Genomic DNA, 18,391 nt, shown 5'->3' with positions numbered 1-18,391 from the left:
TTATATATTAAGTTTAATTAAACATAAGTCAAAGGATTTGAAATTTAATGCTTCCTTGACATTTCATTATGATTCTGTGCCAGTGTGTACCAGAAAAACAATCCAAATGGATTTTGAACCAGTTTTTGAGAATAGAGCTGTATTTTTATAAACTACATTTTCTGATGGTATTTAGTTTTACATGGAACAATACTTTGAGCTTTGCAGCAGTCACTTTTGTTCTTACTTACCAATATTATTATAAACCAATTTTTCTGAGAATGTAAAGGGTAATGCATATAGCACTTAATTTACAGAGCAAATTTTACTTTTTAAATTTGACCTTTATCATTTGTGCCTCACAATATCTCTACTAGAGTAGAATAAGAATTTTGTCTTTGTTGTTTATAAGTAAAACCTAAAACCCAGTCACACTGTGTGGACTTGCCTAAATAACACAGTTAGTGATGGAACCAAGCCTTCAAGTGAGTTCTCGTAACTAAATGCCATCTCTTTTTCTTTACCCTGCGCCAAAAATCCTAATAGTTCAGAATTAGGGATCATTAAAAAGAGGTCCAAACAAAAATACAATCTAATTAGTGTATTTTTAGGATGTTTTCATATCTTTTAAATCCCTGGAATGCCTGTTCAGGAAATACCAACAGAATAATGGCCATAATTTCAATAATGTTTTCCAAACCAAGCCAAAACTTACACAGGCCACAAAAACATTAATGAGGGAAACAGCTCTGTATATTTGAAGTGGGCACCATTTCCCTCCCAATGTTTAGTATTTATAATTATCATATGCATCCTTTTTCAGTATAAAAAAGCTAGATATATACTTGTAAAATAGATTTATTCAAAGTGCTAAAAATAAGTTCTAGCTCTTCAAAGATCACATTCCAGTTTTTCAAACAGTCTTGAAAAAGAGACATTTCAGGGCAGGCTCAGTTCCACCACTAACTGTGTTACTTTAGGCAGATCCACACAGTCTGGTTGGGTCTTAGGTTTTACTTATAAACAATAACGCTATGTAGGCTGGTTAGATATCTGTGTGTGTTCTGTATTGTTACTTTCTCTCCTTTGCCCTTCTATCCTTAGTTTTTCTTTTCTTTGTCTCTCTACTCTTCTTTTATTTCTGTTTCTCCCATGATTTTTATTTTTTATGTTGCCTCTAAGACAGGATCTCCTAGAGTTTCTAAATCTTTAAGGAGTATTTAGGTTTAAAAGAGTGAAAATGCAGTGAACATGATTTATCGTGATAATGATAGGGCACACCAGGAACTTTTTATCTTAAAGTATTTGTGAGAGAAGAGTAGATTTTTTGACAGAGTTGCATATGACCTCAATCCTGATGGCATGTTACCTGAATTTCATACTTATTAGTTCACTATTACATTCAGGAATTCTTGAACATTGATCAGATATGGAGCTTCCATTTCATCGTGTGCTAGTCAGATTTATATTTTCAACTTGTGAATAAATTATTTTGCGCTGAAATAAAATTGGACACCAAAAAAGTAAGAAATTTCAGTTTTACTTGTAGGACTAATGGGAATCTTCAGGTCATTTGTTGTTGAGAAGTTAGTAAGGGCTTTTGAATGCGTATCAGAACTTGTAGGTTCCTTAAAATGTTTATATATAAAAATATATTTAACCCCTTTGCTCTGTGTGGGAAGTCATTCTTTTTGATCTTTGATTTATACAAGTTCCAGATTGGTTTATATTTAAGTACAAGTTGCTATAGTTCAGTCTGAGGTAAATTGCATCAGCAGTTTAAAGGAGAATTTTAAACATTATATTCCAGAATATTTATAAATTAAACCACCTACTCTAAAATTAAGTAATACAGGTAATGGAACATGTTTCAAGTAACATTTCTCTCTTTCTCTCTCTTTCGCTCTCTCTCTCTCTCTCTCTCTCTCTCCTACTTACATCAGAAAAAAACCCAATGACTTGTTACTAGAGAACAGACTAGGGCTGATATTTTCATTCCTAGCATATGAAAAACCCAGGCTTTTACTGTTTAGTTTTTAAAATCTTTTTCACTATTAAAGAAAAAGGAAAGAAAAAATTGTTGAATGTGGCTGAAGGAGAATTATCTTTAAAATATTTTAAATACAGTTGTTTTCTAGAAAGCATTTTCTATAGTTATATAAAAGTTTGATCTCCTGATACTATAGTAAAATAGCACAGTTGTAAAGTGCATTCCCTTATATTTTCATGCATTTACAGATGAGTTTAATTATTCGAATTAAGATGTGTGATTTTTTTAGCATCCATTGAACTTTTATTATTTTATTATGTACACACATTAGTCTTTGAGAGTTGATGCAGAATTGTGTTGTAAAAGTGGAACTATAGTAATTTGCACACAGTCCATGTCAAGAAAATAATCATCACATGCAAGTGTTTGAACTCTCAGGGTCTTATCATGGATTCTGATATCAAATCCTATTTTATTTTTAAGTTAAGCTTAAATCTGTAATAAAAACGAGTTATTTTGACATTTTTTATTTATACACATTTATGTAAATACTTTTTTGTAGCAGTATTTTAGACTTATATAGGATATTCTCTGTGTTTCCACTTCCCCTCCCCAGCGCACATATATCATTATTCAGACAGCTTAGATAACATTCTGTTGATCCCTGTCAAGTAGTCAAAGTATGAAATTTTGGAGTTACTGTATTTGAAATTCTTTAGCTCAAATCACTGAGGGACCCATTTTAAAATAATCCCGTCTTATTATTTTGCTTCATTTTTAATATCTTTTAGCGACAGCGATGAGGAAAAGAAAGCGAGAAGAGGCAGATCTCCCAAAGGTGAATTCAAAGATGAAGAGGAGACTGTGACGACAAAGCATATTCATATCACACAGGCCACAGAGACCACCACAACCAGACACAAGCGCACAGCAAATCCTTCCAAAACCATTGATCTTGGAGCAGCAGCACATTACACAGGGGACAAAGCAAGTCCAGATCAGAATGCTTCAACCCACACACCTCAGTCTTCAGTTAAGGTGGGAATGGCAGTAGTTTACACATTATACATGGTTTTATTTTTATAAACCGCTCTTCGAATTCCTGCATTAGTAGGCTTGGGCATTTCTAGGCAATCATATTAATTATGGATCATCTGGCATGTATTACCAAGAGACATTAATAATAAGAAATCTCTTTGAGGGGAGAAACCTGTCCAATTGCTGAATGATTGGGTACTTTCTATGAAAGTAGAAATGACACTTTTGGTTTGTTTGGGGAAGGTTGTGAATCAGAATGTAGTGCCTCTGTCCCCATCTAGACAATACTGGTTACCAACCACAAGTAGATTCACTAAAGAAAACATTGGAAGTATTTGAAAGTTTTAAGAAATGACAAACGAGGGAGTAAGAAGAGATATATAGGGGCAAGTTATCTCATGTAATGTAGAAACGTTGCCTATAAAGGGAGGCGTGTTTGCCTCACAGTCATTACTGATCAGTATCAAAAGAAGCACTGCCTCTTGTACCATCTTCGTTTGTTTTTATTTACCATAGAGATGAAATCCACCTGCTAGGTACCTGGCCAAACCCTAGTCTTTTCAACAGAAATCTGCCAAATAGGGAGATTTGCCTCAAAAGACTAAATTATTGTTTTTGTCACTTTCCCCGACTACTGTTTCCCCAGTTTGTGTCTTTGCAAGAGAAATAGCTAAAAGCTGGGAAAAACAGTTTTCTAATGTATGCAGCAGATTGTAGGTGACTCTGAAAATAAAACCAGGCCTGCTTAGTTGCAATAACAAATACCATGTCAGCTTTTGCCAAATATCTGTATAATTTTTTTAATAATAGAGACTTTTATCACATATCTTAAAGGATTTTAAATAACAGTTTGTAGTATAGCCTGAATATATGACACTCTGCAATAAATATTTTATATTTGTAGTACAAGCTTTTTCTTTTTCTTTTTCTTTTTTTGGAAGACCGAGTTTCGCTCTTGTTGCCCAGGCTAGAGTGCAATGGCGCGATCTTGGCTCACCGCAACCTCTGCTTCCCAGGTTCAAGTGATTCTCCTGCCTCAGCCTCCCGAGTAGCTGAGATTACAGGCATGCACCACCATGCCCGGCTAATTTTTTTGTATTTTTAGTAGAGACGGGCTTTCTCCATGTTGGTCAGGCTAGTCTCGAACTCCCGACCTCAAGTGATCCACCTGCTTCGGCCTCCCAAAGTGTTGGGATTACAGGCTTGAGCCACCGCGCCCGGCAGTACAAGCTTTTTCTTTTTTGTTTTCATTTACCCTCCTCCCCTCAAAAAAAATGTCTAGAAGGTTGAAGTTCTTAGAAAGTTACCCAACTCATTTGGATCTGTTCTTAAAGGTGTTTTGGAATCACAGTATATAGTATTTTAGTTTTCAAAGTTCAAATCAACATGCCTAGGATCTTAGGGTTTCCCCATTGCCTAATAATTGAGTTCTAATTTAGCATGTATATATCTAACATATAGGACATAGGTATTTAGGTATCAGGGTGCTTAGCTTTGTGGAGAAGATAAAAATAGTATTACAGGTATAGGCCTCAGTTTAGTTGGGGAACTAAATATGAAACATATCAATATATCAAATAACATAGAATTATACTAACTTGTGTGATATACAAACAATAAGTTTTGCTAAGGTTCATAGAAATTTAGAGCTGTTTAGGATCTTGACCTCTAATCCAGTGGATCTCAAGCCTTGGAATTATCTAGGGAGCTTTCTTGTAAGACTTTAACAGGCCAAGGTCTTGGCCTTTTTATACCTGGGCAATTATGACTCAGTGTATTGTATGGGACTGGTACATATGCTAGGGTATTTTTTTTTTTTTTTTTTTTTAATGAACTGATACTTAGCATTAAGATTCAAGTGGGATCTGGCAGTTAATATTTTCCAGAGTGAAATGCAGTCAGAAAAGTGAGGTAGGAAAAAAAGTGTCAATGTTAAGAGACTTTTACACTGCTGGGAATGGAGGTACTTAAAAGTGCTTGCTGCCTCTCCATAAGGATTCAAGGTCAGTACTCTTTTTCCAGAAAACCCTACCCTTATTAAGCTAATTACAGGTATTTATGTCTAAATTGAGAATTAGAGATGGATAGAGCTGATTTTTAGAAAAACAAACTTTTCGAAGCTCCTGAGTTATGTGTGTGTTTTCAGACTTCAGTGCCTAGCAGCAAGTCATCTGGTGACCTTGTTGATCTGTTTGATGGCACCAGCCAGTCAACAGGTAAGCTTCTACATTGGCCTTTTCTTTTGGTTTGAGAGTCATTTTTTAAAATGCCAAATAAAAGATAGATTGAAAAATAAGATTACTTATTTGCATTGGGTTCATTTTTTATATGAAATTAGTGAGTCTTGAGCATTATTTGGAATCATTGTGTTATTTTTGCTTATCTTTTTATATGTACACCCATTTCTCTATCCCTATTTTATACCTTTTTCTGACCCACCCTCAGACTAGCAAAACTTTGTTTGTGGTCAGTACTTATTGGTGGTTAATAATAGTATCCTCAAATCATTATCATACTTAGATTTTAATGACTCCTCATACCTGATGTACTGTGTCTTCCCTAATTAATAATAAATAGTATTTCAAGGCATCATGTACTTTCTGAAATTTTTCATCATAGATTTTGGAATCTATAGTTTCCATTTTTAATTTTTAAGATTAACTTGGAGAAACAAAAAATTGCATTTAAACTGTTGCCTTTACTTTCTTTATAAGCAAAAGGTACTGCTCTGCGCATTTTACTGTCTTTCCCTAAATTTTAATTGCAGCTGTCACCTTGGGCATGCCTAGAGATCATTTAACTTTTTATTCTTTTAATTGAACAAATATTTGTTGAACCAGACACTGATCTGGGTGCTTGTAAAAAACAGAGTTGTTGTCCTCATGCGAAGGTCAAGTGGAGAAAATAATCATTAATCAGAGTCACAAATAGTTATCTAGTGATAAACAATGGCAAGTGCTTCAGTCAGAGGAATGACATTCTCTGAAAGTATGTAACTACCAAACATATTTAAAGAGGGCGGCTGGGCGTGGTGGCTGACCCCTGTAATCCCAGCACTTTGGGAGGCCGAGGGAGGTGGATCACCTGAGATCAGGAGTTCGAGACCAGCCTGGCCAACATGGTGATACCCTGTCTCTACTGAAAATACAAAAATTAGCCGGGTATGGTGGCAGGTACCTGTAATCCCAGCTACTCGGGAGGCTGAGGCAGGAGAATCACTTGAACCCGGGAGGCGGAGGTTGCAGTGAACGGAGATTGCGCCATTGCACTCCAGCCTGGGCAACAACAGTGAAAAACTCCATCTCGGAAAAAAAAAAAAAAAAGAGAGGGCTACAGCAAAAGAACTGTTTACCTTGAATTTCTCATAGATGAGATTGATGATTTCTTCAGTTTGATTTCCAGTATGTGCTAGATTTTGAGTAATTTCTGATCAATTGTTTTCAAGAAAATTGATATTTTTAGGGTTGTATTTGATGATTATGGAGTTTTAATAAACTATTGTGTGACGTGTCAAAATAGTTTAACAAATACATCTTCTGTTTAAAGACAGTCTTTCCAAGCCTAAGTTCATTTCACATTAAAATGTAGACAGTAAGATGGGGGTATGACTAATGTGCAAAGTAAATTTATTATTCCCAGTTGTGTGTAATGATTTTTCAAAGCCGAATTGTGGCTGTGCACAGTGGCTCACACCTGTAATCCCAGCACTTTGGGAGGCCGAGGCAGGCGGATCACCTGAGGTCAGGAGTTCAAGACCAGCATGGCCAACATGGTGAAACCCTGTCTCTACTAAAACTACAAAAATTAGTTTGGCGTGGTGATGGGCACCTTTAATCCCCGCTACTCAGGAGACTAAGGCAGGAGAATCGCTTGAACCCAGGAGGTGGAGTTTGCAATGAGCTGAGATCATGCCACTACACTCCAGCTGGAGTGACAGAGCAAGACTCTTGTCTCAAAAAAAAAAAAACTTTAACTTAACCTTTAAGTGTAAGTCTATGCTGGAAATTACTTTTCACTGATAGTTTAGTATAATTAATGTAATATAAAGCCCCCTATTATTTCCTCCTCCTTACCTACTATGTTAAAATTCTTGGATTAGGCATGAACTTTATTCAAGCAATTCTCTTGCCTAAGCTTCTCGAGTAGCTGGGATTACAGTCACCTGCCACCATGCCTGGCTAATTTTTGTATATTTAGTAGAGACGGAGTTTCACTGTGTTGGCCAGGCTGGTCTCGAACTCCTGACCTCAGGTGATCTGCCTGCCTCAGCCTCCCGAAGTGCTGGGATTACAGGTGTGAGCCACTGCACCCAGCCCAGACATCTGGTTTGACCTACTTTCTTTCTCTATTTTTTTTTTTGAGACAGAGTTTCGCCCTTGTTGCCCAGGCTGGAGTGCAGTACACAGTCTTGACTCACTGCAACCTCTGCCTCCCGGGTTCAAGCGATTCTCCTGCCTCAGTCTCCTGAGTAGCTGGAATTTCAGGCATGCGCCACCACGCCCGGCTGATTTTTGTATTTTTAGTAGAGACAGGGTTTCTCCATGTTGGCCAGCTTGGTCTCAAACTCCTGACCTCAGGTGATCCACCTGTTTTGGCCTCCCAAAGTGCTGGGATTACAGGCGTGAGCCACCATGCCTGGCCAGCCTACTTTCTGAAATTCTTCAATTCCCTTTCCCGTTTTTCTGTAACTGCAAACTGTTCCTAAAATTATTCATTAAACTTGATTGGACTGTAATGCCCAAGGTTACGGACAGCTACATTAGTTGTGTAACAATTTATGTGATATATTTTTATATGTTTAAGATTTGAACTGTAGAATTAACTGGTAGTTAGCATGTAGTCATATAATACAGATATAGTGTCACAGAATATCAACTATTTTGGACTTCCTGGCATGAAATATTTAAAGGGCCCCTTTCATGCATCTGTGAAAAGTTTTAATGGAGCAATCAGAGAAGAATTAACTAGGAAGGTCAGATGGGTGGATGTAACTTTTCCTCTGTGACATCAAGATTGCTTTGAACAGAGAGATTTATTAAATACCAACATGCTTCCTTTACTTGGCAAGGAACCTTTGAGTGGTTTGTCTTCTCCAGTGCAAACAGTAGTTTGACTAATTAAATAGAAGTAGCAATTGATATTAATATAGTAACTGAGAAAGTTTGAATGAAATCTAGGAGGTTTCTTGCCTTAAATTTTATTTTATCTTAATAAAAAGCAACTAATAGAGATTGATATTAGAAGAATTTTTTAAAATTAAAGTTATCTCCTATTTGAAACCGTATGTTTAACCAGTTTGTGCAGCTCCCTCTTCAATCAGTACATAAATTTAGTTACTCCCAATCTCTATTTAAATATTTTAATAATATATTTTAAATTGAATTCAGCAGTGAAAGGAAATTGGGCATTAAATCTTTAGCACTTACACGAGAAGGTATAAGAATCTACCATATTAACATTGCTATTTGGTATGTCATTTGGGTGTCATTTACCAGATGTGCCCATATTTATAATAGTACCATCATGCAAGTAATGTGGGCACAAACTGTAAAGCTAAGCAGATATGGCATCTGTACCACTCACCAGCTAAATATATCCTCTGAGAAAATGTTCAGATTTTTGTGTGTGTGTGATTACATGTTCTTAGCATTCTCAAAAGTATATATGGTAAAATCATTGTAGAATATCTTACCAAGTTTAAAAATATATATGTAAAACCTAACTATCAGGATTTACTTGAGACTATCTCATATCTTAATAAAATGTCCCCTTGTGGTGATATTCTTTTAAAACCTGTACTCACATGGTGTTTCAGTTGCTTTTACATAAAGTACATTTCTAAGTAAACATTTTAAGAAATGAAAAATAATTTAAAGTACAGTCATGGACTGCATAGTATGTGACCATGGTCCCATATACAATACTATATTTCTACCGTACCTTTCTTATGTTTAGATATACAAACACTTTCTATTGTGTTACAGTTGCCTACAGTATCCAGTATAGTGACATGATGTACAGATTTGAAGTCAAGGAGTAATAGGCTATACCTTATAGCCTAGGTATGTAGTAGGCTAACTAGGTTTGTGTAAGTACCCTCTATGATGTTTGCACAATGACAAAATTGCCTAATGCCCCAATGCATTCTGTCATTGAGAAATGTGTGACTATATTTAGAAAATAAGCCAATTAGAAATAGAATGCCAAAAACTGTCCCATTTCTTTTTTTAGTTTATCTCACCTCTTTAAAAAGAAGTCCAACTTGTCTCTTTTGTCCCTTTGTAATTAAGAAATTTAGGTCTTGATTAACATACTGTTAAACTAGATATTTCTAGTACAATAAATAAGGTTGAGAAAATTCAGCATAATCAATACAGATAGAACTTAAATGACTTGCAATATATTTTGAATGTTTTTAAGTTAAAAAGAAACATTTAAAAGGATTAAGGTATATCAAATCCGAAATGTGTATTACATTTACATTTGAACCTGCTGCTTTGTACCCAGTAATCGCTAGTTAGTTGAAGACATTTACATGAACATGTAAATACTCACCTTGTTCCATTCTTAGTACACTAACTTATCATTTGGGTAGGGGTTGTCTCCAGTTTTAAACTAAGTTTACTGAAAATAAAATTTTTTCAGTATATTCTCTTTTTCACTGATTATTAAAAGTAATGCACATTCAATTTGGTGGAAAACAAGTGATTTACCATAATTTAGACACATAAAGTATTAATCTGGTGAATATCTTTTTAAAATACATTTTCTACATATTCCATTAATGTAGTTATTTAAGCATTTATTATGTGGCAGATCTTTTTCAGGCTTTTAGATATGACTTTTCATTTGTTTGGGTTTTTCTGGGTTTTAGTCATTTATTTATATATTTTGATAAACTGCTTTTCACCTAAGATCTCATGACCATTTTCTTATGATAGTTGGTATTCTTTTATAGTACTTTTCATTGCTTTATAATCTTACATTGGGTGGCTATATTATAATTTAGCCAGTTAATCCCTTGTTTTCTAGACATTAGTTTTTTTATTTTTCCAAAATTTTGTAGTACAATAGCACCTTTTAAAGCTTTTTCAGTTTGGTAAAGAGAAAATAATATTTCATTTTATTTTGCATTGATGATTGAGTTTGAACACTTCATATTTTTATAGGCCAGTTGTTACTATCTATTCATGTTCTTTATTTATTAGGAGTATTCATCCTTATTGATATTCTAAAACTTGTGTATTATAGATAATAATTCTTTGTCATGTATTTACATTTTTTTTGCACTTTGCCATTGCTTTAATGTTGTGTAAATTCTTCATGCAAAAGTTTGTCTTAATGTAATCTAGATTAAATTTTTTTGTCAAAGAAAATTTCCATTTGTCGTTTAAGTACTGTCTAGTTTACCTGTATTTTCTTGTTCACAATATTGCTTTGGGAAATACATGTTCCCAGCTGGTGACTAAATAACCTCCCTGCTGCCCTGGAAAGGCAGATGGAAGTGGTTCATTTATAATGACAGTTCTCATGTGGGAATCTTGAAGGATAGCACTTGTTGTGAAAATTAGCAGTCTTCCACATGCAGCAATTTTTGGTAGACTCTTTTATTTATATTCCTTTAGAATATAAATTTAGATAGAAGTTTTCTGGGAAAATGCTTAAGTATAGAAAATGAATGTGGAATTTGGTATGAATATCATACATACAGATATGGATAGTCTTAGGAGAGAAACATTTTCTAAATAAAGAGATTTTTAATTTTTGAGACAGTTTTCAAAGTTGAAGATCACATTTCTTAAAGTACCAGTAAAAGCATAATATGTGGCACTTTAAAAGATTAGAGAGAAAAAACATTTTCAGAGAAAGACAACTTCTATTTGTAAAATAGTTACATACATCTTTCCATTTTTTGCTCCCAATATTCTTAAGCTACTCATGTTGAAATCAAAATCCCTGTAATATAGATGGAGAGGAATACTATTTGCTATAGATAAGTTATGAACATCATATAATTTCTGTTTTGGTGATAGAAGATAGGTAATTATCTGAAATACTAAATACAGGGTATGTCAGAAATAAAATTTCTTACCAGTTTGAAGTTGTGATCTACAGCTTTTATCCTCAACATGTATTTTCTTTGTAGCCTAGACTGAATAAGATTTGAAAATCCCTAACTCCACCAGGGGCGGTGGCTGACACCTGTAATCCCAGCACTTTGGGAGGCTGAGGCAGGTAGATCACTTGAGGTCGGGAGTTCGAGACCAGCCTGGCCAACATGGTAAAACCCCGTCTCTACTAAAAATAAAAAAATTAGTTGGGCGTGGTGGCAGACACCTGTAATCCCAGCTACTTGGGAGGCAGAAGGTGGAGAATCACTTAAACCTGGCAGGCGGAGGTTGCAGTGAGCTGAGAGTGCACCATTGCACTCTAGTCTGGGTGACGAGTGGAACTCCGTCTCAAAAACAAAGAAAAACAGAAAAGAAAATCCCTAACTCCTAACTTGTTTGCTATAATAAGTTATATATTGATGTTTATTCACTGCTTAAATGAAGCAAATTAAAATAATCTTTAATTTTTAAATCCCTTAATGTTATATTAATTGATTAACTATCATTCTGTTACCCAACAGTATACTTGACCAATGTTTTTAACATAAAGGACTACTTTACAGAAAACAAACTTACGAATATTAAGCAGCAGCTGTTTGAAGTATTCATTTACTTGATAGGTTTTATTAATATGTGTGCTTGTTTAAATGGTTTAAACATGTATAACTCATTGAACTTTTGTGTTCCTTGTCACATTTTATCATGATGTATGTACCTTTAAGGAAGAGAAAACCAGATCACTGTGATACTCTCTTTTAGATGAAGTAAAAATTAGACTAAGCTGTAGTGTAGATAGAATTGAAGCACCTTCACTTTGGTTGGCATTAGTCAACTGGTGAGTGAGGAGATATATATATATATATATATGTATGTATGAGCATGTGCATCTGTGGTGAAGAAATGAGGAATTAGTTATGCCTGCTGCTAGTTGACTACAGTAAATATGCATTAAAAAGAAATACCAAGTACACACATATCAGAAACTGATTTGTTCCTTTTATTACTGTTGGCCATATATTAAGAAGGGGAGATGGTTCTAGTTTAATTAACCCAGTTGAGTGTAGCAGATGGGGCAGAATGTCTTTCAGCGATAAGACAATTCAGAAATGGCACCAGATGTTGGAAGCTGTCCCTGGTGGTGTTTGAGTGCAGCCCAGATGTTCCAGTCCCACCTGGCTAGTTTCTAAGCACTGCGGCCTAAGCAGCTGTGATGTAACCTATATAATGTTCACATAACACTAAAAGCACCATCATTGAACTGCTGTAGACTTCTAAGGTTGTGACTGTTAAGAGGTGAAATCTTTAAGGACAGACAAAAATAAGGACGACTATTTAAAGTTTCAGATATTGGTCTGTTTCACTAAAGTTGAGAAAAAAAGGAATATTACAACTTGAAATAATGTTATAATTGAAATTATAGGTAAAAGTAAATATTCTTACCCATGTAGTATTTACAAATAAAATTTTATGTCAGAATGTAATGTTACGCACACAGAGATTGATTTGCAGACTTATAATTTGGGTCTTACCCTTTTAAAAACACCTATCTAGAAGTAGCAAAAAAGCTATTTTTTTCCCATGCATTAAAAATACAAAATACAAGTATTTACTCTTTTATGGAGTAAACACTACGGGGGAAAACCCGTCCACCAAAACTATTGTATTGATATTTCTCCCTCTCTCTGCTTAAAATAATTGTTTTGTTTTGTTTTGTTGTTTGTTGCTTTTTGAGACAGCGTCTCACTGTGTTGCCCAATCTGGAGCGCAGCAATCTTGGCTCACTGCAACCTCTGCCTCCTGGGCTCGAGCAGTCCTCCCACCTCAGCCTCCCGAGTAGCTGGGGCTACAGCTGCTCGCCACCATGCTCAGTTTAATATTTTAAGGTTTTGTAGAGACGAAGTCTCACTATATTGCCCAGGCTGATCTCTCAACTCCTGGGCTCAAGCGATCCTGCTACCTCATCCTCCCAAAGTGCTGGGATTTACAGGCATGAGCCACCACACCAGACTCTAAAATGATTTTATACAAGTGGACTTCATCTCTTCCCTTTTTATTTTTAAAAATTACAAGCATACGGAAAATTTGCCCCATTTTCTTTCTCTCTCTCTCTCTCGTTCTTTTTTATTTGTTTGTTGTGTACTGTTTGTTCATCTGTATCATCTGAGAGGAAGTTGCAATCATGACATTTTGCCCCTAAAATACTTCAGCCTATATCTCTTTACAAGGACATTCTCCTTTATGATTGTGATACAATCATACTTGGGATTTAACATTAAAACAGTATTAATGTTAATATACAGACCACATTCAGATTTCCCCAGTGTCTCAATTCTGTCATTTCAGGATAGCAATTAAAAAAAAAATCCGGGGTCCAATCAAGGATCCTGCATTTTATTTACTTGTCTTGTGAATATCTTATTCCCCAGCAGCATTTTACTCAGGTTTTAGAATCCATTGAAGACTCCTTATAAAGAGCATAATTGGCTAGATAAGTTGTATTATTTCCACATTATGCTTGTGAAATATTAGTGAGATAATTTTAACAACAGATACAGTGTCATTTATCTTACTAGATATAGGACTGAGGAAGGGAAAAGAGTCTATGGTAGCTCATAGGGAACATAGTGACATGAAAATCTAGGTCAACAGACTAGCTTTAGCTTTTGTGAGGCATCTGGGCCTCTAATATTAGGTACTTTTTGTGTGGCACTAAAATGGCCTCCAGAAATTATTTACAATTTTTCTCTAGTTCTAACAGTTTTAACTTTTTCTTAACTTCTAGGAGGATCAGCTGATTTATTCGGAGGATTTGCTGACTTTGGCTCAGCTGCTGCATCAGGCAGTTTCCCTTCCCAAGGTATGATTCAATTTGATTGGCCAGAAGTCTAGGGTGGTAAAAAGGTTATTAAAAACAACTCCCATTCCCCCCAAGTCAGCTTCTTTCTGTCATTTTTCTCCTTGTAGTATTCATAATTCCTAAAGAATTTATTCACAAGGTATTTTATTGGGCAGATGCCTTAAATGTGCCAAATGAATTATTTTGGTTACAGACTACTCAGGTACATCTAAAGAAAATTGCCCATATTCATAGGTGACTCTTGTTTAGCTTTTTTGAAAGGGAAAGGAGGATGTGAGTATCTCTGTATCATCTCATTTTATTTAATAGCAGCAAGAATATTATAGTTTGTGTTTAGTTTAGCTTATGATTTTCATGAATGAAAGGAACACTGGGATCAGGCCAACTATCTTACTAAAATGCATTCCTTTTTAATTTAGATATCTTAAAAGCATTTATGTGAAAAATAACTGAACTTCATTTTGACATATCCTAAAATGAGCAGTTGAACCTCATGCAAAACTTTCTCATTCTTTATTAGAATAGAATTTTAAAACAAAAAAACCATTCAAACAGAATATGGGCTTAAACATCAAGGATTGAGGTGAAAGGCCTATTTTTTTTTTAATTAATATTTTTATCTTATTACCCCTGCCATATGGTAGCTGTTTAACTTTATGAAAGCCTTCGAGCCTTCAACTTTCTAAAACTGGGAACGGTGTTGCTTGTCATGGTTCTTTTTGAGGATAGTGTCTATAGAGGTATGTATTAGGTGCAATTGTCCCAGTTACTCTTGCACCAACCTAATAGAATAGGGGCTACATTCAGTATTAAGTGTCTTTTTTATTTTTTTTTAAGGTTGTGAAGAGGTTGTGGTATTTGTTTTATAAAATCTGGTCAGTCTGAAGTTTGAGACAATATTTTTAAAATTTAGCTATGAGAATCTTAAACATGAGGTGAGGCAGGGAGAAAAGATGTAATTTGACTGAGTTAGTGTTGTTACTCATCACAAGTCACATAATCTATTGCTGTTATATTAAACTGGATTAAAATTTATATTTAGTAATATTTGGTTAGGTTTGTGAGGAGTTAGAAAAAAGATACATAGCTTGTAAAATGGTTTGGGGTTATTTTGACTACTTATTTTTGTAAATTCCAAGTATTTCCCAGAAACTAGAATTGTTGAGTAATTTTCTGCTTCATTTTGAAAGTAAGAATATGCCATCTAAGGGTTAATACTTTACTTTAGGCAAACCAAAGTGGAAGGTAAACGTTACCCTTATTTTATAGCTTCCCTGTCTAATTCTCAAAGTTTTTATGTATATAAAGTTGCCTACTATGCAAATAATTTGAATATGTTAATGTTGCCTAAGTGATACATCTCTTCATCTGTATGCATGTGATTAATATAACCTGACCACCTTACGCAGGGGGCTGAAACCATTGCAACAATGATTAATCATTTCTGAATAATATATGCCCCACTAGAAATCGTTTCCTCCCACGATTAATCATTTCAGATATGAAGTTTTCAGGTGGGGCAACACATTTTGCCCCAGTTTCCATTCATATTCTGCATTATAGATCAAGCAAATAGAAAATCAGCATAAAAGTTTACATTGATCCAGCAGCCTTAGTTTAAATTGTTTAATATCTAGAACTAACTGTAAAACTCTTAATGCAGTCACTTAAAAAAAAAAAAAAGATCAAAGACGTGTATTAGTAAAACCCTGAGGTAAAGAAATTAGCCCAATTTTTATATTAAATTGTTAGTAGAACTTGGAGTTTCTAAGTGAATTATTTTCTCTTTCAAGGGTGCTTACATTTTAATATGGTAATAGAAGAATGTAATTTTAAAGACTTCACCTTATTATTCTCTTTTGATATTTAGCATAATGAGACATGGTATTGTAGTGGTTGGTCACTTTTTAGGCTAGACAAAATGTATTTCCAAGTTGTAAATGAACATGGAATGCAAAGGGATGGTGTTAATTAACTTGGAAGGTACATACTTACTATTTGCTTTCAGATGACGGTTTTTATGTAGCTCTTTCTTCACATTTTGCTTTTTCAACTTCCATTTATGCGTATTTATCTGTTCCTTTCAATATAAAAATTGATCAGAGGTTAATTGATAAGACTGTAGTGATTAAGAGTATGGATTTTATGCATTCAACCTTAAACTTGCAAAGTATGATAGGGTTTTGCTTGTTTCTGGCTTGGTTGTGTTTTTTAATATTACATGAGTTTTCCTCCTCTCTTTGATTGTAAATAAATGGTCCCAGTTGAAGCAGGCAATGTGCTAAGGTTATAGCCCTTGTATTGTCAGTGGAAGTATGGCCAAATAAGTGAGAAATTCTTCATTTTTTTTTAGACGGAGTCTCGCTCTGTCACCCAGGCTGGAGTGCAGTGGCACAATCTCAGCTCACTGCAACCTCCGCCTCCCGGGTTCAAGCGATTCTTGTGCCTGAGCCTCCCAAGTAGCTGGGACTACAGGTGTGTGTCACAACACCCAGCTAATTTTTTTGTATTTTTAGTAGAGATGAGGTTTCACCGTGCTAGACAGGATGGTCTCAATCTCCTGACCTTGTGATCCACCTGTCTCGGCCTCCCAAAGTCCTGGGATTACAGGCGTGAGCCACCATGCCTGGCCATTTTTTTTTATGGTAAATTCAATGTGTCACCTACAGAGCTGCCAAGAGATGGATTTTACGTTATATTTGGGAGGTTTGTTTTTTCTTTGCCACCTTGTTAACTCTCGTGTAATATTTATGAGAAAGAATACTGTCCAGATGGAGATGGTACCTGCAGATGTTAATCTGGGGGACTCAGATCAGCTCTAATTTGTTTCAGTTCATAGATTGTTACATTTGTTCTGTGCATTCCATGAAGTTTCTTACCCTTAGAGTTATTTCTGTCTTAGTAACAGCAACAAGTGGGAATGGAGACTTTGGTGACTGGAGTGCCTTCAACCAAGCCCCATCAGGCCCTGTTGCTTCCAGTGGCGAGTTCTTTGGCAGTGCCTCACAGCCAGCGGTAGAACTTGTTAGTGGCTCACAATCAGCTCTAGGCCCACCTCCTGCTGCCTCAAATTCTTCAGACCTGTTTGATCTTATGGGCTCGTCCCAGGCAACCATGACATCTTCCCAGAGTATGAATTTCTCTATGATGAGCACTAACACTGTGGGACTTGGTTTGCCTATGTCAAGATCACAGGTAAGTTGTCTGGTTCCCTTGGAATTTGTTATTTATAATCTTTGAGATGCTCTAACTCATTGAATGATAGATTAGTATAAAACAGAAAAATAAGCAAGTCCTTTTTATGTGTATGAATATGTGTCTGTGTGTGTATATATACGCATTTGCACATTTCATTTACCTCATACTCTCCCCTAGCATAGTCATTTGCATTCTGGAAGGCAAGACCTTCTCCCCCATCTTGTAGTCACTGTAAAGCCAAGCATGGTGCCTTTGCACAGAGGAGGAACATGGCAAAAATTTATTGTTACAACAAATTGGTACTTGATAGTTTTTTTAAATTGTCTTTAAGAAAAAGAAATAGGCCAGGCGCAGTGGCTCACCCCTGTAATCCCAGCACTTTCGGAGGCTGAGGTGGGTGGATCACTTGGTCAGGAGATCAAGACCATCCTGGCTAACACGGTGAAACCCAGTCTCTACTAAAAATACAAAAAATTAGCCAGGCATGGTGGCAGGCACCTGTAGTCCCTGCTACTTGGGAGGCTGAGTCAGGAGAATGGCGTGAACCCAGGAGGTGGAGCTTGCAGTGAGCTGAGATCGCGCCACTGCACTCCAGCCTGGGCGACAGAGTGATACTCCGTCTCAAAAAAAAGGAAAAGAAAAAGAAATAGAGATATTGTTTCACTTACGGCAAGTATCCACTTAGTAAAATTTCTGGTCATGTCCCTAAAGAAATATCACTCATTGGTTGTAAATAATTATTGCTAATATGGAAAATCATTCTCTCGAATGGTGAATGTTCTTCCCAATTCTGGACCTGCTCTACATTATATAAATGTTTTATAGGCTCATCTTTCAACTTTCATTTTCATAAAGAAAAACAACCAAAATGGGAGCTTCTTAATTCACTATTTTATAGTTAAATCCGAATTACCTAGTACTAGCTTAGAATTCAGACAAGTGCAGGCTTGGAAAATATGTGTCTGAATGGTACCAGGAACTTGCTATTTTTGACTCAAACTATTGAGAATATGTGTTTATGATGCTAATTACTCATTTTAATGTGTAGATTCTCGTCTTTGGGGTATTAGGATGAAGGAAAAGAAGAAAGAAGCAGAAAGGTGACTGCTCTATGTAACAGAAATAAGACCTAATGTATGAGTTAAGCATAAAGTCAGTCTACTTTATTTGCAGTCTTAATTGTAACTGTCATAATTCTTTGCATTGGTACATTTTTAA

At 35.5% G+C, this 18,391-nt stretch overlaps 1 protein-coding gene across 6 annotated transcripts in view; it reads left to right on the top strand.

Annotated features, from left to right (window-relative positions):
• Positions 1-18,391, top strand: part of CLINT1 (clathrin interactor 1) — a 73,399-nt gene that overhangs the window by 50,273 nt on the left and 4,735 nt on the right. For 5 of the 6 annotated variants that reach the window (NM_001195556.2, NM_014666.4, NM_001195555.2 and 2 more), the window contains exons 7-10: positions 2,761-3,007; positions 5,154-5,223; positions 13,901-13,975; positions 16,878-17,170. In NM_001195556.2, coding sequence (NP_001182485.1) covers positions 2,761-3,007; positions 5,154-5,223; positions 13,901-13,975; positions 16,878-17,170 — 685 coding nt within the window. Of the gene's footprint in view, positions 1-2,760; positions 3,008-5,153; positions 5,224-13,900; positions 13,976-16,877; positions 17,171-18,221; positions 18,274-18,391 lie in introns of all 6 variants that reach the window. The other variant, XM_017010088.3, reaches the window with a different exon arrangement.

This window comes from Homo sapiens, chromosome 5 (assembly GCF_000001405.40).
Source record: "Homo sapiens chromosome 5, GRCh38.p14 Primary Assembly".
Classification (NCBI taxonomy): domain Eukaryota; kingdom Metazoa; phylum Chordata; class Mammalia; order Primates; family Hominidae; genus Homo; species Homo sapiens.
This window is presented reverse-complemented; position numbering and strand designations above follow the sequence as displayed.